The sequence below is a fragment of the Homo sapiens genome, chromosome 1 (genome assembly GCF_000001405.40).
Source record: "Homo sapiens chromosome 1, GRCh38.p14 Primary Assembly".
NCBI lineage: Eukaryota > Metazoa > Chordata > Mammalia > Primates > Hominidae > Homo > Homo sapiens.
The window spans coordinates 107400951-107423992 of record NC_000001.11 but is presented as its reverse complement, the minus strand read 5'-3'; the positions used below and the strand labels follow the sequence as shown (position 1 = coordinate 107423992).

At 36.8% G+C, this 23042-nt stretch overlaps 1 protein-coding gene across 18 annotated transcripts in view, besides 1 other annotated feature; it reads right to left on the bottom strand.

Annotated features, from left to right (window-relative positions):
- NTNG1 (netrin G1) overlaps nucleotides 1–23042 on the bottom strand; it is a 344836-nt gene that overhangs the window by 60931 nt on the left and 260863 nt on the right. For 10 of the 18 annotated variants that reach the window (NM_001372167.1, XM_047449447.1, NM_014917.4 and 7 more), the window contains exon 5: nucleotides 16285–16311. In NM_001372167.1, coding sequence (NP_001359096.1) covers nucleotides 16285–16311 — 27 coding nt within the window. Of the gene's footprint in view, nucleotides 1–2849; nucleotides 2910–5333; nucleotides 5414–13312; nucleotides 16312–23042 lie in introns of those variants that run through there. The other 8 variants (XM_017000683.3, NM_001372169.1, NM_001113228.3 and 5 more) reach the window with 4 other exon arrangements.
- Nucleotides 3010–3511: an enhancer, noted in NCBI's record as "NANOG hESC enhancer chr1:107963104-107963605 (GRCh37/hg19 assembly coordinates)". NCBI's record gives its function as "activates a minimal SCP1, AML or CMV promoter by ChIP-STARR-seq in naive H9 embryonic stem cells {active_cell/tissue: H9 hESC(naive)}" and the evidence as "EXISTENCE:reporter gene assay evidence [ECO:0000049][PMID:30033119]".

Genomic DNA, 23042 nt, shown 5'->3' with positions numbered 1-23042 from the left:
ATATTGCCTGGCATACACTAAGCACTGAAAAAATATTGTCAAATGAATGAATGAATGATGATCCTGAGACCCCTTCCTTTGGGGAACAGAGGAAGATAGAGAAAAGTTATGTTTAAATTCATTCCTTCATCGTTTGAATTCCTGAAGAGAATCTGGCTATATCCTATATATTAAGGAGTTTAGAAAAACAGTAGCCACAGAACAAGCTACAGCTGAGTTAGTGATTATTTTAGCTGAGAGTTCACTACATGTCTATTAACAGATCAGCTTAGGCAGAGAAAAAGCAGGTTTCTGAAAATTGCTGTGGTTTTATATAGTTTTTAATGTCAAATTGCATTTCAGACAACTTTTATTACTGTTGTATAAGCAAAGCTAAAGGGGGTCTTTAGCTGTATGTATACACAATGTGGCATGGCAACCATTGGCAACACATATTTATTGAGAACTACCCTGTACCACGTACAGCCATCATGTACCAGAAGACAAAGGGAATGCGATCCAGGCCTTCAGAGTCTAGTGTGGGGTTTCTCAACCTTGGCACGATTGCCATTTTGGGCCAAATAACTTTGTTGTATGGGGCTGTCCTGTGCATTGTAGGCTTTTCAGATGCATCCCTGGGCCCTCTACGGACTAGATGACTAGATGTGGTAGCAACCCCCAAACTGTGACAAACAAAAATTTCTCCAGACATTGCCAAATGTCCCCTGGGGGGCAAAATCCACCCACATCCCCATTGAGTACTATTCTTCTAGTGGGAAGATAGAAAAAATACTATATATGTGTAATATATATGATATATTGAAACATAGAAGGCAGTTGTGATAAAGTACTTAGTACCTAGACAGTTAAGAGCAATGAAGGCTAGAGGTGTTTTACAAGGGGAAGGGTTCAAAGTTGACTTTCTAGATAAGGAAAGGACCAAGTCCCCTCTAAGGTTTAAAAGGTTCCTTTTGACTGACACTGGCTGGGGAAGACCTGGGCAGATGAGATTTCCAGGAAATCAAGAGGTTGGACACAGAGAATGAAAGAAAAAGAATGTTACTAAGAGGAGGGGATTCAATTTCTCCTTTGCATCCTCGTTTTTACTGTTCCCCATGTTGCCTATAATTACATTAGTAAATTGTCTCTGTAAATATAACATAAAATACAATGAATGTGGCACAATTAGAACAGGTAGATTTTTTTTTGGCCAAATGAGGAAAGCTAATTCAAATCCAGAGCTGATTAAAATTCACTTTAGACATTCAAAAAGAAAGAATTTGAGAAAAAGACCTCAAAGGTGAAGGAGTTGGAACTCTAAGAAGAATTTTCCCTTCACTGCATTAAATGGAGTGATTCTGGGAATTAAGAGGCTCTAGCATTTTCCTTGTCTTTTCCCCACCCACCATCCTGTCTTGCATCCTTATGTAGCTGTTGAAGCTCTTCCACACATATCATTTGACGATGATGTGAATTTGTCTCTGGTAAGTCTACCTCATTGGGTAGCTTCTCCCTGCCCCCAGGAATGTGTCTGGACCTCATTGGTGCTGTGTCCTCAAGAAACTAGAGATGCAGGTTCAAATTCCAGGTTCAGAGGCCTCTTATATATCTAGCATGCTTGACATGACAGAAAAGAGATGAACTTTGCATGTGCTTTTTCCTTCCTTTCTCCTTCACCTCCTTTGTTTCTTTCCATATGGCATCCCTATGATGGCTTCAGTGACTGCCTATATGACACACCACATACCCAAATTGATTTGTTACCCTCTGAGCCTGCATCTGCTCTTCTCATACAGGACTTATTTCCAAAAATTTCAAACCTAATTGGGTTCCCCTCAACCCAAATTGGCATCTTCTATGTTCCACGGTTAAAAGCACATTTGAGAAAATTTTGACATATGGTTTAAATACTCTTGGTTTCCCTTTTCCCATTTCCTGACCAGTTTCCACTTTTTCTCTATATGCCATGGAAGGACAAATTCAACATTGATTAAAATCTAGGAAATGACTAAATTCAATAAAGAATAGGAAAACATTATGGTCATTTTCACCAAATGGGTCAAACTAAGTTCAGATTTTATTAATAAATGCATTTCTTTGTAAGAGGTGTTTTATGAAAAAACAAAAAACAAAACTAAAACGTGACATATGCCCAACAGTCAAGGGTGGAAAACAAGACACACCTGTTACACAGGACATTTAAAGAAAAAATGGTGAAATAAAAACAGAAGTCTTCATGTTTCCTGAAAAATCTTCATTCTGTGAATGACAGATGCTAGCTGGAATGGGCCATTCATGAGTCACAGATGAGATGCTGCTCACTTTCATTTAAACAAAGTAATATAACTATTATTTTTGGATCCTAAGCAACACTTAATCCAGTGCAGATCTTCACTTGTGTTTTTCAAAGTTATTCGAAACAATTTTTTGGAAGCATAAATTCCAAGGTGTTTCATTTGTCACAAAGTGAAATGGGCACCATACATGGAACCTGCCTTTCTGGTCTCATGAAAAGCATCCTTGAAACTCACTGTAAGTGGGTTTCCTTATTTTCAATGCAAGTGAGTATCCATGATAGTGCTCTAACATTCGTGTTCTAAACAGGAACCTCAACCATTGTAATTCTTATTCACACATGAATCTTTCAGAAAACAAATGTAACATTTTTAATTGCAGTCAAGTTTCTGAGTGAAGCATTTTTTTTTCTTACAGATGATTCTCAGTACTATTCGATGCATTGATTGATATTAGTCAACATGCCTCACCAATAAGCTGATGGGTACACTTCACAGATATTCCAGATTCATACAGTGCAATGTTTCACAACACATAACACCATGAAATCACTGTATGAATCCAAGAATTCCTACCTCTCTTGTGGTTTGCAACTTGAACAGAAGAAACTGTTGACAAAGCTAATTTGGGAGCAACTGGATAGGTTTAAAAGAATGAACAGTAAATTAGAAACAATAGTGAAACGTTCAAACTGTAATAACTTATCACCAACCCACTTGAAAAGTAGCCCTAAATTAAGAGACTATTTGTATCTGTTGTTTCTAGGAGTTTGTTTCAATCACAAAGTAAGGCTTGTATTTGGCTGAAAATGGTTCAACATTGTCAGTAATACAATTTAGAAGTTTTCTTTTCAGAGGGAAAAATCATTACCATTTAAATCAAGAATCCAGTGAAGCAAGGATTGTTACCATAACAATATGGATAGTAGGATCCCCTACTGTCAATCTTTTAAAGTAGGAGTTGTCTTGTCAGTTGACATTATCATTGCCTGGGTTCACCATGACATTCTGTGTCATGATAAACTATTCGACATATACACCATTTAGACTATTTTTGTTGAACTAATTAGGCATCCTAGAACATAAGTCAGTCCCAATAGTCAGCCATTCAGCAGCATTTGGGCCTATCTCAGAGTCATCTTGAACACATATACCTTTAAAAGTTGTAGCCTTCTCAGCATTTGTTACCTTTTTGATGATATCAGCTTGTTAATGGCAGAGATTTCTCTCTATGTTTGCCTGCCATTTCTTTTCCAATTATTCATGAAGAGTTGCTTGTGAAAATAGCCAAAACAGAACAGAGCCTGATGTTCTTTGCAGATGCTGACAAGATAAATTATGGCTGCATAGAACTGGCCTCTGCTACAAAGTGCACCTTTCGCTAAAATTTCAGAATTTAAGAACTTTGCTCAACTGTGCTGCTTCTCAATAGATTCATTTGAACTCATTATCCACATTCTAAGAAAGTGCAACTGGTATTACATAATGATATTTCTGAAAGTGTTTTGTCCTGTGACTCTCACAGACAGCACAGCAAAATAATTAAATGGGCCTATTTCAGGTTTTGAACAATGCATAATCTTGTTCAGCTCAAAACTCACTGTGGAGAAGTGTTGTCTTAGAGCCTGTGTTGTATAATTTGTGAACTATGAAATTCAATAGGAAATACTGAGTGACATTTCACTGAAGATGCTGTCATTGAACTTGCCAAGGAATAAAGCCACTAAACCTCTTCTGAATCCTCCTAGAATTATACTAATAGGGGCAAGCTTGATCTGTATTTCTTCTTTCATATATGTATGCAGAAACTTGAAAAAATTCATTTGGAGCAGATGATTAAGATAATTCTATTTGCTAGTAATATATGTATCTAGGACAGTCTAGATTTCATCACTCTGATCAAGGACTGAAAATGCAGCCCTTCCAATTTGACTCCTCAACAAATTACTAATATATTTTGTTTTGCTTAGCAGCTATTTCCTGGTTCCTCCTTTTGCTCATTTCCTTTTCCATCTGTATTCATTAGAGTTTAAAAGGAACATCCTGTATATAGCTAAGGAAGGTGGAAGCCAAAGATGTGCCTTTTTTTTTTTTTTGAAGAAGGAAGAAGGCAAAATAATACAATACTATATTAAAATAAATTCCTATTTATACATGACTATATATATCTATAGGCTAGATGTTAATATAAATTTAACATTACACTGCAGCTTATGAAGTTTATTGCTCAGCCTTTAAAAGTTCTCTTTCTTCCTGCGTAATCACATTTCTGTCTATCAGTGTTGTTTTCTTTTTTCTTTTTTCTTTTTCTTCTTTGACATTAGGAGTCAGAAAATAATTACTGCTCTAAGGACAGAAAGAGAACAGATTGCTCTAAATGCTGGAACACATGAATGTTAATTGATAAAGAAGATAAAAGGAAAAGTTCCAACAAGGAAAATTTACTGTGATGTGAAAGACAGAGAGAGAGAGAGAGAGAGGAGGGAGGAGGTAGCGGGGAGAGGGAGAGAGGAGACAGGGAGTGAGAAAGGGTGTGTGAGAGAGGCTAAAGGGAGGGAGGAAGACAGGAAAAAGGAGGAAGGGAAAGAGACAGATTGCTCCAAATTTTTGCAAGTCAATATGGAGCAATAGTCAGCGAAAACAGATCTGTTAGGTGTCACAATACTACCTCTATGTATTTACCCAGACCCTCAGTACAACTGAGGTACCAGTTGGTTGACTTAAAAATAAGAGGAAGACATTGAAAGGATGCCTGTGCCACTCACACATTTTTAAGTCTTGTTTGTCCTCCACACTGTGGTGGTAACAGAAGTCTAGGCTTCTCCTGGGACTGACTGACCTTCAATGTAATCTGGTAAAGGGCTTTTTAACTTCCATGCCATCTAATTTTCCCCTTCATCTTTCACTCTAATATTTTTGGGACACTCTTCATATTAGAAAAAAAGATTGAATTATGATTCTTTCAAAGACATAGCATTCATGATAATGCTCTTATTTTGTGCTAAAAATGGCATATAGGATTTTCCCCCAAACATGTGGGATTTTATGTCCGTAGGAATTTTACATGCTCCTACCTTGTTTTGGGTTAGAAACCTCAAGGGAAGAAATATTCGGCCATATCCTATTAAACTTTGGAGGATCTGCACGCATCAGGAAAAATCAGGGTATGTTATTTTCAGCTATAATGTCATTTGGTCTAAACAGAAAATTATATGGATAAAGACACAAACCACACATCTGCTCTTTAACTTGGCTGTGATGCACTTAAACAAAACATGACTCCCACATCAAACAAGAGCAAGCAATTGATGATTCCCAAAACATTGAATGGACATTAAATATATAGCTACTTCCCTACCAAAGCTACACATTTACTTTTAAAATAAGGTAGAGTGTTCTTACACACACACAAAAATACAAATAAGGACTTCAGCAATCCAAACCATTATGTAAAGCTGGTGCCTGAAACTAGAAGATAACACTAAAGAAATAATTTCTCACCTGAGGATTCCATTCTCCTCAATTTATATTTACAGATATGAACTGGTTGCATTCGTCTTTCATGATAGATTCTTCGGGGTATGTTTTAAGTGTGAGCCATTATCTCTGAAAAGGAGTGGATATATTTCCTATTTTTATATGTGTAGTTTCTCAGAAAAGGAAAGAGGGAAAACTGGTGGTTTTGGCTTATGGAGAAAAGTCCAAGATGCTTCCAGTTGTATTTAAGGTTTGTTTGTATGGGTGTGTATGTGTTTTCATGATGCCTTTACCTCAAAATATGTTCCTAGAGTTATTGGTTTCAATGCAGAAATAAATAAAAGCATTAATTAATTTAAGAACTGGTATTATTTATATCTTGGTATTATTTGTGTCTTCCAGTTATGGAAGGCAGAAGAGCCAGGCTAGGATTTAATGTTTTTAAACTATTTTTGTGAAGGTGCATGGGCATGACTATTAAAGCAGCTATTTTATGATGAAAATCCTACCATCTATTGAGTCCAGTCTCAAAACCACATCTCTTGTGTTGTCCTTTGGTACCACCCAGGTCCATAAGGATGGCTCTTGGCTCTAAATTTCTGTAACCTGTTACTTCCAGTGTTCCTGTTTTCTCACCGATATGTGGACAGGCATGAGTTTTAATATTGCCAGTTAAAATTGTATAGGTCGATTTCTCATCTCTGTAATTGGATTGGATCTCTTTGAAGAAGGGCAAAGCCTTGCAGAGGGCTTCAGTAAATATCTGATAATTGAGAAATAGATACCAAGTGGCTATGCTACTGTAAACAGGTATTATCATGTTGTTTCCTCCATAATTAGATTATAGCGCATTCTTCCAAGACAAGAGACTTGCACTATAACTTTGCTTTTTTAAATATTTGTTAGAAAAGCTGACCTGATAGAGCCAACAGAAATGTTGCTCTCTTTCGCTGTGTTCTCATACATATATCCACAAAGGCAAAGGCAATCTTGATGATATCTATGAAAATTTATGAATGAAGAAAGAATGTAATAATTTTCCACATCTGTACTCAGGTGTTATTAAATAAATACATATTTGGTAACATGTAGGCAAAATATGTAAGTCAATTGACTGAATGTTGCTTTTCACTTGAGCATTTTGATGATGGGTAGATATTGAATGGTAGATATTGAATTAATAGGACAAGCCTACTTGATCTGTGATGATCAGCTTTGAAAAACTATAAATTTGTGTTTTGAGGAAATTAATATTGTCTGTATTCCCAGAAATTGTTTTATTTAATAAAGCTTTCAAAGTATTGGTGTGGTTTTACATAAAAATGTATTTGTATTATTAGTATCAGATTAAGACAATCTTAGTTCGGTTAACTAGCTTTCTCCATCTTTTTCTGTGCAGAAACAAATATAGGTCTTAAGTGGAGGTGATGTTTGCAAGCTTAATGTTAAGTAGTGACTTGTTTGTCTTGATGAAATGCAAGTACTGGTATGATTTATTATTTTGTTATTGAGCTTTGCCAAGAAATTTAAGTAAAGATAATAATTTTATATTAAATCAATTTTAGAAATGAGTTCTGAAAAATAACCCTATAAATTAAACTTTATTTTATATACTAATATTTTAAATATTTGTCTGTGCCTGTATTTTAGTGTAACTCCTTTCTTAGTGTTTTATGATTTTTTTCCCACAGGGTGCTGAGGTTCCAGTTTATGGATCTTCTTATATGTATTTAAAAAATTAATGTAGGCCATTCTGCTTTCAAATTGCTGAGACTTCTTGAACTGTATGGACTTATCAAGATAGACACCTCACTTACAATCTGTTCCTACTGAGAATATAATTGTCTTCTGTATTGTGTATCTAACATATTTTCTTGGGTGGGGGAAGCCTTTGTATTTGCCTAGGAATGTAATTCGACTTTTTTTTTTCAAATAATTTTCATTATGTAGAATGCCTAACTTCGTTAAACTACTAAAACTCAGAACCACCAGCAGCCATCATATGAAAATCCGGATCAAATCCATACATATCTCCAGTGGGACAAAATTTTATGTGCTCTGCCTTCCTTGGGAGGAAAAATGTTATCCTGTAAAAATGGATATTGAAATTTGTGGCCTCTAAACTCCTATAGTGTGTTACCGACTGCACATATACATTTTAACATTTGGCCATCACGAGACTTTTTAAGTTAATATCTCATCTTAATTTTTTAAATGTATTTTGTTTTATAATTGCAAGGCCAAGTAAGAAAACAACTTAAAATTAGCCAATTACTCTCTGAGTAATTTTACTTTTTATTCTAATACCTTAGCATGTAGTAAATGCTCGACAAATATTACTAACATTTAATTCCCAGAAGTAAATTAAGCATATTAGAGGCTACTTTAATAGTATGTCTGAGAGCAATTCTATCTTATCACATCCAATTCCAATGAAAGTTTTTGTAGAACATGAAGCTTCTGAGAATTCTTAGTGAGAAAAATTCTCAGCAATGGAAATGAATTATAATACGTCAACAATATTTGTATTGCTTCTTTGTATGAACTGTTGTGGAATGTATTAATTTCATTTTTTTTTCACAAATCAACTAGGGAAAATCTTTGGGTCAATATGAATGTCTCAGAGTGGTGTTTTGTTACAAGGCAAAGGGCACTGGGATTCAGAAGATGACACGTCTGATCCCCGTTCCGCCACTGAGGAGCTATCTGGCTGTTAATTTCTCCGGATTTTACTTTCCTTATCTGTAAAACAGGAATGCCAGATAAGAGATTTCTAAGGTTTCTCTCAGCTGACAATTTCATCACTCCAGTGGTTTTCTCATGGCCTAGCAGCATCATAGTAAAGTTCATGGAAGGGTGATGCCTGTATGTATGAGGCATATGCCATTTGGAGAATCTAGTGGATTAAGAATTCCTTGTGTGATGAGGAAATTATCCCTACATGCCTTGACTATGGACCTTTTGACTGTTGGTGAAACCCAAACTGAATTGAGAAATTATTATAAGGGTGAGGGGAAGGATCACGATATGCTTGTAAATGGCAAATCATTCAAGAATAGCTTTTTATGGAAATCACTTCTTCTTAAGGATGCTGGTTCCATACCTTTGTTAAAATTGACTGAATTTGTCTTGAGGATCTCCCTGATCAGGCTCCAAAGACTATGTCTACATATGTAGTATGGAGACCAAAATCATTTATTCCACAACTGCCTCCTTTAAAAAATAAAATATCTGAAATGCCTTTCAGTTGCTATTATTAGTCTGAATTTTCAGATTGTATCTGTGGGAAGCCTAGAAAATAATCTATTTAGGATAAATTTATTTAAGATATGGTGCATGTAAATAGAGCTCAGGCTGGGTTAAAAGTCCGGTTCCACCACTTGAACAATTCCTTAACTGCTTTGTGCCTAGCTTTTCTCATCTGCAAAATGGAATAGATAATGACACTGTCTGCTACTCATTGTTGTCAAGACAGAATGAGTTAATATTTGCTTGGCATCATAGTGAGCATTCAGTAAATGTTAGCTCATTCTATTTGCGGTTGCTGTTGTAAATAAAAATCAGATTGCTGTACTATAAACAGTTACTGACTCGAAGTAGGAAAATAATGTCTTCCCCTATTTTTTTCAGTATTAATTGTTCTTAACCCAAGTGATCTGATAAGTTAAAAAGATCTCTTAAGATATAGCTTAATTTAGAGAATAATCCAATTCTAGGGCCTCTATCAATTACTATTATTCAGAAAGCAATACAAATTATTTTGTAATACTGTGGACAATATTTGATTTCTAACCTTTAATCTGAAAATGGTAATTCCTAAATTTCTTTTGGTTTAGAACCACATCAGCTTAGAATATGAATCAAATAGGTAGTTTCTCCAATTTTTTTAAGAACCCACCCCCAAACTGTTACATGACAATTTAGTGGTCGCACTTGAAATCAATTTTCATGAATGAGAAAAATGGAGATTTTGGTTATAAAAATTGGACTCTGGAAGGAAATATTTTGCTCTTCTGCACCCAAGGAAAGCTCACTGCATTGTAAGTTGAAGAAAACTATGATAGAATTGCTAAACCTGACTGTCTAGTGCTGACGTCCCAGTGAGTCAAGCTGCAAAGCAAGCTTGAAACAGAAAACTAAAGACAGTTTATTAACATCAAGAAAGCTTTAGAGGTAGAGTTGCTTTAGAATATTAAGTTGTCTTCTATCACACATGGCATTTACTGAGCAGCTTTCAAGTCATTTTGTGGATGGCCTTTAAGAACATTGTAAAATGTAACTTTCCCATCAAGGAAAAAGTTTTCTGATTTTTTTTCTATTATTGTTTACCATGTAATATCTCATATTTTAGTTTAATTTATATAAATGAGAAGGTCAATTCTAATGTCATGGTAGAATGAAAAAAGTCCTGGTTTGGAAATTGGACATTGAGCTGGAATTCTGGCTCTGTCATTATTTAGATGCTTTAGGGAATTCATTTAAGACTTGGCTGCCTGGTCGGAAAATGATGAGGTGGATGAGTTGCTTTTTTATTAAGTTTCCTAACAACACTAATGCTTACATAATTTTTGGTTCTAAAATATGGCAACCTGTGAGAAACAGGATACCACGATGATATGATGTGCCACTGCTGTGAGGATGTTAGTGAACCTTACTTAAACATTCTTCTTCCCTGGCATATGAGGAAACTATCTGGTGGAGATAAAATTACAAGGTCCCTTTGGGTTTATACAGTCACTGCTGTCATTCCTCAGGAAATCTGGAAATAGCATTTTTTTTAATTGAAAAAAATTTTTTAAGCACACACCGCACTTGGGATGGAAATAGCATTATTGATGCCCAGAAAGAAATCCACAGGACCATCCTGGCTAATAGGGTGAGACCCCGTCTCTACTAAAAATCCAAAAACAAAATTAGCCGTGTGTGGTGGCAGGAGCCTGTAGTCCCAGCTATTCAGGAGGCTGAGGTGGGAGAATGGCGTGAACCCAGGAGGTGGAGCTTGCAGTAAGCTGAGACTGCGTCACTGCACTCCAGCCTGGGTGACAGAGTGAGACTCCATCTCAGAAAAAAAAAATGAAAAAAAAAATGAACAAAACAAAACAAAAAACAGAAAAGAAAAGAAAAGAAAAGAAATCCACAGGAAACTCCAAAGTTCTACAGGAGAAATCCCCAGAGCCTTGGAGGTAATCTTACCATCTTCGCAGCAACTACCTACTATCAGAAACACACCATCATTAAACAGATGGGGAAAACAGAGTTTAGTGTGATACTGGCAGAGTTATCCTTGAGATGGCATATCGAATTTTATTTTGTTATAAGCAACTATCCTGATGAAGAAAAATTTTTGGTTTACTGTCGCAGAGTAGGCATAAGCATGCTTCACAATTTGCATAGCTAATTTCACAAACTGTTCCATGTTCTATAAAATACCTGACATCTATACATTTTCCCTCTTCCTCAATATATTGAAGATGTTTGGTGGTAGAGGAATAGTATATTTTGAAAGGGGGAGGTCACAGTCCTCCATCCCTGTCCTCAGACACCATGCTTGTAAGTTCTCCAGGTGACAACACAATAAGGAATCCGAAAATGAACTCTGATTTTTCTCCAGGACTCTACAGTTCCCTGCATAGAAATGGGTCAATTAGGGATCAACAGGTCTTCTAAGGCACAGTGTAATGGATTGGAAAAAATCTAGGGTAGGAGGCAATTAATCTACAATTTTTCTTTTCTAATCTCTTCCACTTGGTATAATGTTATGAGTGTAGCCTTTGCAGCCAGATAGGCATTCCTGGTTGTACTGCATTGGGCAAGTTATGTGGCCACTCTAAACCTCAGATTCACCATTTGTAAAACAGAATTCTGTAGACATGTGGGAATACCTCCCTACAATAACTTTTCCTAGGCAGTGGCATGGTTAGTTGGACAGCTCTCCATTGATAGTCCAAGAAGACTTCAATTGATAGCCACATCCTTGAAGTAACTGGCACAGTACAGGAATTCATAGTTAACATGTCTAAAGTCTCATCAAATGAAACCTTTTGGAGATCTTGGCAAGTTTTTGCTTAAGCTACGAATTTCCTGACCCCACAGAGATAACTGGCAAAGGCAGAGATATCAGCTCACACTTAAAAAAAAAAAGTGGCTTGACATTGTAAAGTCACCTGGGAAAATGCTAATACATGATAAAGTTAATTTGCTCAAGGTGGGCAATTGTTGTCAATAAAGATTGGCAAACTTATTGGATTTTAAAAAGACATTTAAGTAGGAGATTATTTCAGCTCCTCCATTGGAATATTCGATTTGTTCTTCAGGATTAAAGAGGCAGCTATATCCTAATGTTCATTCAATTTTAGGATAACCACAAGATTTCATGAATGTGAAATGCCATTTACACAAATATGAAATGGTTCTGTGATGAGGATACTGGGTACATGATAGTCCCAAAGGCATTTCACCTGGGACCTTAGCTTTCCTTCTAGAACATCAGCAAACAGTTCAAAATTAATGTAGCACACCATGCAATTTGCCTATCGCTACACTAGCCTGATAATTTTTTCCTCATTACATAAAACCTAATTAGTTAAAGGGCAATTCAAATGAAACTTTTATTTGGGGGATTTAGAAGTATTAAAGCAAAGGGGAAAAAAAAACCCAAACAAACACTGCAGCTCTCTGTATAACATGAATGCGATTATTAATAACTCTTGGGTGGGAAAATGATTAACCTTGTTATTTTCTTGACTATCCAGGTTTCTACAATAAATCAAGACTGCACAAAAATATTTGGATGCTGTATGGAAAACAACTTTTACCAGGTCTCCAACTGGCATAAAATGTTTTCAAGTATGAAAACATCTCTGGGCTTCCTCAACAGGCTGACAGATCCCTGCAGGTAGCACTTCCCTTGTTTAATGGTCTTGCCAATTACATCAAATTAGAGATGAATTTTTAACTCTGTGATGAAGACACTGCTTACTATAAGATAAAACAGGACAATTAGCTATTTCCCTTAAGTGAACTGTTGTTTTAAATTGAATAAGTTAGGGTGGGGGACAGGAGAGGAATAGCCAAACACCTTCCTCAGTATTCTATGCTTCATATAACATCATGCCAGTCATTTGAAAGTAATTTAAGGAAATACTCTAGAGTCAGGTTCACAAAATGTGTACATCTCTCTTCTTTTGTTTGTGTTATTTAAAAAATTCTATTTATTTCAAAACTCCAAGAGTTCGAAATGGTCTTCCTTGATGTGATCTTTGTTTTGTGGATAGCTTAACTTTAACCTCTGACTCATCTGTCATTCAGTTTTGTAAGAAGTGATGATCACCCACACAAATGTATTTGCACATTAGGCCAATTCTTGCTGGTCTAATTATGCTTTTTATAATATAATGTTTAACATAATTTGTGTAATCATTTGCTTTTCAGGACCAAAGATCATATGATATATATTAGAAGGTAATGATCAGTTTATCACTTGAACAAAAACACCCACACCAAGACAACTATTACTTTGGATTATCGGCAGCAACAAATATTCACTTGGATAAAATCACGAATTTTACTTATAAGTGCATAATACACTTTATTAAAAAATGCAATCTGAAGGAATTCCTACCACATCAGGTAAAGTGAAAACATAGATCATAAGGCTCAAAGGCTACAGATTTATTTTGGGATTCATTAATTGCTGACAATATCACCAGCATTTTTTCAGCCATGGCCAAAGCAGATCAGAATGACTGAGTTCTAAGTCAAGTATCCTTAGGATTATGGGAAACCTATTTGTTAATAGATAGACAACAGCAGGTACGAATGACCTTAATGGGAAATTTGTTTCAAAAACATTTTTAGCAGATGATCGGAAAGGATGACCACCCTATCCATGCATTTGAACCTTAATACAGGCGTTGGCATTTTGAGATCTATACTGAAATTTATTAGGGCCCCAAAACCTTTAATCACTGTGTATACAGAATATGTATGTAAACTGATGGTTATATACATCAATAATCTACATCGATAATATACATCATTTATTTTCCTTGAGCTATGCTGTGATAATCGGGGTCTCAGGGGTGTTACATCTGCTATAATGGTATCTTTCTATATAGTTAGTGGAATTATAGTCATTGATTCCTTCTTTGGGGTAATGCAAAAAGCACTGGCAAACACCCATAACTTAGCTAAATATCCAAACAGCTTCCTTTTCTCTGGCTTGCACCTTGAAAACCCCATTCCCGTGCCCTCTGGAACAGGCAGTGTCGTCTACGTGTGAATTCTTGCCCTTTGGAGGGGAAAGGAATCCACGAGTGCACGCAAAAAGCAACTTATAAGCCCACAAAGAAGGAACTTTCGAATGCCATTAAAGCAGCCTAGAAGATACAATCACGTTTGATGGTTTTACTGTAACTCTTTACCTTAAAAGCCAGGAAACAGGTAAGCTAGTCATGTGTGATGTTGGGTGACCTCTGGAAGCTCTTACATCCTGTTTGCTGGAAATCTGAGAAAATACCCATTGCATTCTAAGCGGAACAGCCAGAGGCATATTGAAGGGAGAGTCCAAAATATCACTTTTAGTCAGAGGGTTTTTATTAGGAGTAAATTTTCCTAGGTTCTCGATAATAAAGGTTAATATATTTTTTTCAAAGGCACAACGAAGCATCCTTTCAGGTCACCACTGATTTCAAAACAAAACAAAACAAAACAAAACAGAAATTTCCTGATTTGATGTGTAAAAGGTCAACATCTGCTGATGCTCAGATATGGGGAATGTGGTGGAGGCGGCCGAATGGGATGTCGAGTGAGCAGTACAGTTAGAGGGGCCATGCAACATACAACTGACACTCCAAACAGAAAGACACCCCAACGCCAAAGAACTACTTTTCCATCCATCCATTTCTGAAACTTCTGACAGGCCAGATCACTATAGCAGCCTCAATAATCTGTGTCAGCTTGCTTCTACTTGCTTCCCTGTTGCACTAAAATGCACGTGCAAATGCAATTGTCAAGGCCTGAAAGGAGCACATTGTGGGGTATATATACAGTTAGGCAAATGCCAAGGGGGATACTAAAGCAGAAAAATTAGACTATTAGAGCTGAAGGTTTTCATTTGCAAGTTTTTAACACTGATGCTGTTTCAACAAGATCACAAAGAGGATGCTGTAGCATTAGGCTGGTATCTCTAAATGGATGTGAACACTACTTCTATTTACAAAGTGGCCAATTTTCATGGCATTTACCACATCTAGCGCTTAACAAATCAGTGTCCAGGCCTATTCACAAGCTCAAGTAAACTGGGTTGATTTATAAATTGGGACACCTGACTGTGCATTTATAAGAAGCAGGAAGTTGCTTTATCCAAATTATCAGAGTATTGCTTTTTAGATGGATGCTGGGAATCGCAATCATTCAATGGCTATTTACACTGCGATCACCCTGCCTGGCACAGCACCTATGACACAAGCCTGTGAGGGGATGACACTACAGTGAAAATTCTCTCCGCTTACCATGCGTAATCTTGCTTTCTCGGTAATTTATTTGTAATCAGTTACTTAGTAGTTGTTCAAAGATTTTAGCCATTAGAGATAAAGGGTGCAATGTATAAAAAAAAATTTAAAATTTTGCTCTGTAAAGTTACTGGGCATTTTCTTAATGTGAATTTCAGGCTTGGCATGAGGGCATCATTATTTTACACATGAAGCGGGAGCTACACCTGGTTCTCCCATGATAGCTGGAAGAAAGTTCTTTGTAGTGATACTGGGGAAGTGTTCTACAGATGGTTGAAGAGCGGTTTCTCTTCAATTGCTTGGATTCATACTAACAGATTTATTAAAGGAATTTCTAGTACTCTCACTCCCAAATTCTGCACATATTTTTTATACTCTTTCTATATCAAACTCAAAGCTAAGTAGTCAAGAAGACATAGATCATCGTATTTTAGGAAGGAGAAATGAATGTACAGATTCTCTTTTTCCTTTATCTCTCCAGAGAGACTACTGATCACAAATTTGCCTGTTTCAGGCCTTCACAAAACATAGAATTTAATGCATTAACAAAATTCCCTTCCCTTGGTATCATGGACTTTTTCTTGGGTTCTGATGCATATACCCAAGGCATTCATTGGCTTTCATTTTCTGCTTTTTAAAATTATGTCAGACATCCAAATCCAGTCTAAGAGAGAGTTCAATTTGTTTGTTGGTTGCTAAGTATGGATAAATAGGACTACTTATATTTTTCCTGAATGATGATTATCTAAGGAATTGCACCTGAGTCTAGGTAGCCCTCACTGGTTAAGAGTAGTCAGAAAAGTCATAGCACTGCCATGTTCATGGAGTTATGCACAAATAATCACTTTATCTGTGTTCTCACCAGATCTGTGCAGAAAACCAACACAAAAATGCAATTCACAAAGAAAATACCCTATTACATCAGAAATGGACACTGGGAAAATAGATCTGAGGAGGTGAACAACAAAGCAAAGCTAGCCTAGACTTGGTTTGGTGTTTTTTTTGTTTTTGTTTTTACTTACTACCAATACTGGAAATACTGGGGATACCTGGAGAAAAAGAAAACAATAAAGAAAAGCTGTTAGCTATTTATTAGTACATAACATCTTTAACTTAATATAAAAATCTTAGAAACTTGACACTTGATAATATTCAGACTATTAAGAAATTAGCACACACACAAAATACAGGTGCACATATATATGCATATACACATTATACACACACACACACACACAATTTCCAGCAATTGAAACCATTTTGTTTCATTCTAGAACTCCTGGGCTCATCAGAGTTGGGAAGTTAATACTCATTTCGGCATCTGGTCCAAGTAAGCTTTTGACATCCAACATTTTGTGTTTCCCTATAAGGTTAATGAACATTTGTAGGTGGTTCAAACTAGATATTAAACCAGGCTTAAGTTATGGGTACAGAGTACCAAATATACACTCTATGGACACGTGCAAATATATTCACATATGCAATAGACCTTTTAAAATGTGTTATGAGATGCATGTGTTAGCTGTTGAAAATCACGTGGCATTTTATTTGATTAATTTCATATAACCATCATTTTTATTCTTTTACTTGTCAGATGTGTGGATTAAACTCTGTAATAGAAACTCAATTGAGCAGAATAATTCAAGAATACATTAGGTTGTGCATATTGATCACGGACTTCATCGATTTTTCAGCTTTCACTTTAATTCACAAGTTGTGCTAAGGTAGAGAAGCCATTTCAGAATATGGCTGGACTTGGTATAAATGTGGACATGAATTTAGTCTGTATCTAACCCAGCAATATAGTGCTGTGGCCAATAGTCTGGGCTCAGAAGCCAGGCTCTCTGAGTCTGATGCTTGACTCCAACTCCTAAATTTTCACTGACCACATGACTTTGGGGCAAGTTGCTTATGCCCTCTGTAGCTCAGTTTTTTACCTCTTAGGGTTGCTGCAAGAGTTATATAAACTGATAGATGTAAATCACTCAGAGTATTGCTTGACAGGTAGTATGTACTAGGTCCATCTTTGCGATGATTACTATTATTGTTATAGCTCATTCACCAAGCAACATTATGATAGATGCTGTTAATTAAAAGCCAGAGATTTACATCTTCACCACTAATTTGGGTAGGAGAGCATGCGATGGAAAGCAGACAGAACTCAGTGAGAATTCTGCTTTATACCGCCTTGCTGGGTGATTTTAGGCAAGTCTGCTAGCTTCTTTGCACTGTTTCCTCATCTGAAAAAGGGCTAATAAGATCTACTGCATAGGGCTGCCGTGAGGATCGAATGAGATAATCCATAAAAATGTCTGACACATGGTGTGCGGCCAATAAACGGTAGCTGTTAATGAGTTGTTCAGACTTGTTCTTCACATCATTGAAGTATAGTAACAGGTGGTAACTGTGAAAATCATTAAGGTTCTATTTTAGTATTTATCTTTGAACAACAGCCCTTGTTTTATTTTAACTAATCATTTTAGCTTGCTCGGAGATTTCTAGCTTTGTATTCTTTAAAACCTAAAACTATTTTCCTATTTTTTAGTGGGTAGGAGAGAATAAGAAATTAAGACTTACTCTGATTCTTTTAAACCCTGGAAAGAATGAAGTCTTAATTTTAGTTATTAGAAACACAAAAAATATCTTGATTTTAAATGCTCAGAATTTGTAGTGCTTCAGCTTAATTACTGATCAACCAAAACTAGAAATCCAAATTTCCATGTCCATGTTTTAACTCTACCCTATGAATTTCAAGCTGAACGTGATTTCTGCAAAGGACTGCTGAATTCCTGACCTGACACTTCAGTAGACTACCTCTGCTGCAGTGTGACAGTGACTTGATACTGAATCTTTATTTTTTTTTGCAAATCCTCTGTTGAGTGAGATATGATGGCAGCATCATAATTTTAGTATCAATTGCAGAAGTTCCAAATTTTTCCATGATTGAAAATCCTGCTCCATTGCAACGCACTGCTTGCCTGTTGTAATCCATCAAAGAGAATGGAAGTTGGGATGGCAGGAAGAGACTTTTCATGTCTTTACAAACTTACAAGGTGCTAGAAGGCCAGGCATTATGCAAGGCAGAGATCTCAGGGTGTTTGGCACCATACAATGAAAAACAAAGCCGCAAGACTGTTTGATGCAGTATTTGCTGCAGCTGAATACTTTGGAAAGATGCAGAAATTTTTTCATTCCTTTAGTACCAGGGCAGGGGAGCAATGTTTGTTCCAAGTTTCCAAACCTCACCAAGCGAGGCTATTAGGAGATTCTGTTTTTCTCACTAAGATGTTTTCTATTACCTAACATTGGTTGCTTAAAATTCAGGCTGTTCCTCATTTTGTGGCTTACAATTTTTTGAGGTGCTGCCAGATGAGTCATTTTTTCTATTCCTCTGCTGTAAAATGGGAATTGCTTAGAAAAGATTTTTAAACTGCTCATTTGAATAAAGACCTTTGAAGTTGAAAATATCTGAACACCAAGGGATGTCCACTACTATATTTTAAAATATCATTATTTTTTTCTAATGCTTCTTATTTTAATGTCCAAATACCTTGTTTGTGGTTCTCCACAGATAAAGAATTGAATAAACTCATAAATCCACTAGAAAGGCTACAGGTAAGCCAGGAGAAATTCCTCAAACACTTGAGGGGATAAGACGGAAAGGGCTAGAAATGAAGTGCAACAATTTATTTCATGAAAGCTGGGGTATCTTTGGGGTTTGTGAGGAATGAATCAATGAATGCAATTCCATCTTACAACAAACAGTGACTATGTCTAAAAGCCACAGGAATGAGAGTCAGACTGTGCTTAGGAAAACTGTCTAGGCACATGTTGGCAGTTTTTTAGCATTCTCTGTGAATTGACAACTACCATGTAAAGAATATTATTACCTTTGAAACTGAGCTCAGAAGTTATTTATTTCCTTCCTCCTCCACATCCCTGATGTGAGTTAGCTACTCTCTCCTTTGTGATCCCATAGCATTTTGTACAGGCCTCCATGATCAATTTATCAACTTGTTTTTGCATTTTTTTAATGTGTTTGCCTGACAGATCTGAGGGCACAAGTTCCATGTCTTGTTCCCTTCTGCACCTGTTGGATCTGCCTGGGACAATGTCTGATGACATAAGAGTTGCTCAATGTATATTGGATCAGAAAATTTATTACTTATTTCCATGAAACTTACTATCATTGTGAAAACATCACTTTTTGGTCAAAGGGTGATTTTATCCCCTATAAAGTGTTCCACTGAGATTTCTCAGAGTTCAGGATTAATGGATATTAATTGTTAATATTAACAATACATATTGTCTTTGAACACATGCAACATTCTTATAACAAGAGTTAGGCAATGTACAAATTCCTTTTACCACTTTGCCTTCCATGAAACTCAGAGCTCAGTTTGATGCTCAGCTGGGGAAACTGTTTAGCATTTAATGTTTGGCCTATTTTCTTTCTATTCTTTTTCTCGGATCTTCTGTTTAAATTCTATTTTTTGATACTCTCATTTGTATTTGTCTTTTTTCCTAACACACCCAGGGGCAAGTGCAGACTTTGTGGGACATAAAATGTGTACAATTCTGTGACTTCTCTTTAAGAAAAACAACTTAACATTAAAATATAAAATTATACATATATATATATATATATAAATTAAGAAGGAGTTCAGTGAGGGATCCTGAAGTTTAAGCTTCATTAGCTTAACTCCATCTCTGGAACAACCTCAAAAATACTTGGGAAAGATAAAGAGATGACAGGTAAATTAAAAAGAACGGAAGGAAGGAAAGATACTAGATAAGTTAATTCAGAAAGAGTGATAACAAATGAAAGCTGAAAGGGATTTAAGACATCATCTTCTTCAGCCCTTTCATTTTATAGAAGAGGCACAAAGAGACTCAAGTGCCTTGTCCAAGTCCATCCCTTTATAGTCAACATCAGAGCATGTAACTTCTAGTCCCTGTGTGAGGCATTGTTAAATTTGTGCAGAGGAAATGAAGCACAGGTGTGCATGAGGTTTTTTTTTTTTTTTTGACAGAGTCTTGTCATCCAGGCTGAAGTGCAGTGGCTTGATCTTGGCTCACTGCAACCTCCACCTCCCAGGTTCAAGCGATTCTCCTGCCTCAGCCTCCCGAGTAGCTAGGATTACAGGCACATGCCAACACGTCTGGCTAATTTTTGTATTTTTAGTAGAGATGGGGTTTTGCCGTACTGGCCACGCTGGTCCTGAACTCCTGACCTCAGGTGATCCACCTGCCTCATCCTCCCAAAGTGCTGGGATTACAGGTATAAGCCACCACGCTCAGCCCCAGTGCATGAGTTTTAACAGAAGTTTCTGCAATTAGTACTATTTTAATAATAACGCTTCTTCTAGAACAGAAATGTCACTTCAACCACAGAAATACATACGTGTTGAGTAAGCTAAAGGGCTATTATGCTACCATACGCTGAAAAAATGAGAAAGCACTTGTCTTGCAGGTACTTGCAATTATTCTTTCCTCAATCAGCCCTTCCTTCTCCCACTTACGTTTGTTTTAAAGATATTCTGCTGCAATTAGGGGGGTGAGAACCTAGTAGAATTACACAATATAATAATGTGATGTTTTCTTCTTTTTAAATAAGTTTACTACTCCCCCAACCAAGTAAATAACTTAAGGGTACACTGTTATGCTTAAGGAAGTCAAAATGATGATTTCAAAAATAAATACCCTCCTCTTCAGAAGCTGATTAATACAGTGCCATAACTCCTTTTGAGAATCAATGGAAGATTCAGCGGCTTTTCATCAGGAAGGAAGCAGAAGGGATAAGGATTTGGCATGCTTCAAATTGAGAGGAAAAATTACCACTGTTGTGATAGATGGTTTGAAAAACCCATCAAGTGGGTAACTAGATCTTATAGCCAGACTGCAGCCATCAGGAATTCTAACTCCAAAAAAACTTCTTCAAGTTGAAGAAAACGCAGATAATGAGTAAGAAAACATTCTGCAGATTCATTTGTATTGCAGAGGAATTACTTCCAATGTTCTTCCAGTCCTGGCCCCTAGTATAAACTGCTGTTGATAGGAGATGCAGTGAGTTGTCTCCCAGAAACTTGAAAGTGAGGGAAATAAGATCACCTTCAAAGATGTATGCTGTGAAATCATCATATAAATGATCCAAGCAGAAATGGCTACAGTCATCTTATAGCAGTAGCAGAGCTTGGGGCCTGAGTGTGTGTGGCAGACTCAACAGAGGTGACATTAACCTGACTTACCATGTTAGCATATCTGAAGAGTGGAAGAACTAGCTAATCAGAAGGTGGAAGCCTCACAAAAGGAGCATCCTGACACATATGGTGACAGTACCGTCCTAGCATGGTCTCAAGAGCGGGAGTGGTAACCCGCAAACTTTCAGACCTTCAGTGTCCTGTTGGCATGAAGAAGGCTGACCCTGAGGCAGGATGGATGGGTCAGGATGTTTCAGCCCGATGTTATTAACATTCAAGTCATTCAAATTTCCTGATCCCATGCTCACCAAGCAACCTCCTGATTATTATCTGGCTCTGCACATAGACTTAATTACAGGAAAGATAATACACTGGCCATAAGGACTTGAATAATCTGAACACCATGACAGTTATTTCATATTGTGGTTGAATAGACAGGCAGTTGGCCACAATATATCTCCCTACATAGCTGCTGTCTCCAAGGGGAGAATTTGCTGCTTATGTGCTGGGTCTCAGGGAAAAGATAATGACTGTAGCAGGTAATTGCACTGCTGCTTACTACGTGGCTGGCACTGTCTAAATGCCTTACATGTACTAATTCATTTAATTTTTATGACCATCCTATGACGTCAATAATCAGGCTGATTTTACAGATGGAGGAAACTCAAACACATAGAAGCTGAGTAACTTGCCCAAGATCATCTCAGTCTGTTGGGAAGGAAACTGGAGCCCAGAGTCCAGGTACCAGAATTCAGGCCCATCGCCACCGTTCTATACTGTCTTTCCATTTATTTCAGGCCCTGAACTTTATTATTCAGCCCTCAAATTAAAAAAAAAAAAAACTATGAAAATTAAAATTTTTTTCAACATGTACCTGCAATATGACCTACTGTGATCTGAATTAACTTGGTGGCAAAACTGTACTGAAACTTGTGTGAGGGTATTATTTATAGTCTTACTTCATCCCAGTTGCTGAGAATAATCATGTTTGCTGTAGAAACATTAAAATGTTTGATTAAATGGTGTTGCCTAATATTCTGCTGTGGGTATTGTTGTAATATATGTGCACTGTATTACCTTTGTAAAATCCTAAAGATGTTGAATTCCAAATCATATCTGGTCAGATGAGGGACCACAGACAATAGATCAGTGGTTGTACCTGAATAACTTGGTATTCCGGTTTTCAACACTGGGCCTACAGCTTGGTCATACACATATGTGGAAGAACCTCTCTTACTGCGCTGACAAAATTAGGATTCTGAGCCAGAAAGGCTGGTAGTCAAGCCACCCAGGCAGTAAATAACCCTCGGGGAGGCCTGTGAAAATCCGCCATCCGATATGCTATCTAGATGGTTCGATTGGCCATGAGCACCAGTGAGACTTTTTCCCATTAAAGTTCCTCCAAGAACTCAGATGGTCTCTCCTGTAGGAGATTGAAGGCTCTTGTGTTGGAGCTGGTGACCTGTGAAGGCCACATATTCCAGGAGATACAAGAATATCAATGGGAAGCCAGTGTAGCCACGTGCACATTACAGGGCTATTAGGTTTACTTATCCACTCACAAAAGTAATTCCACAAAT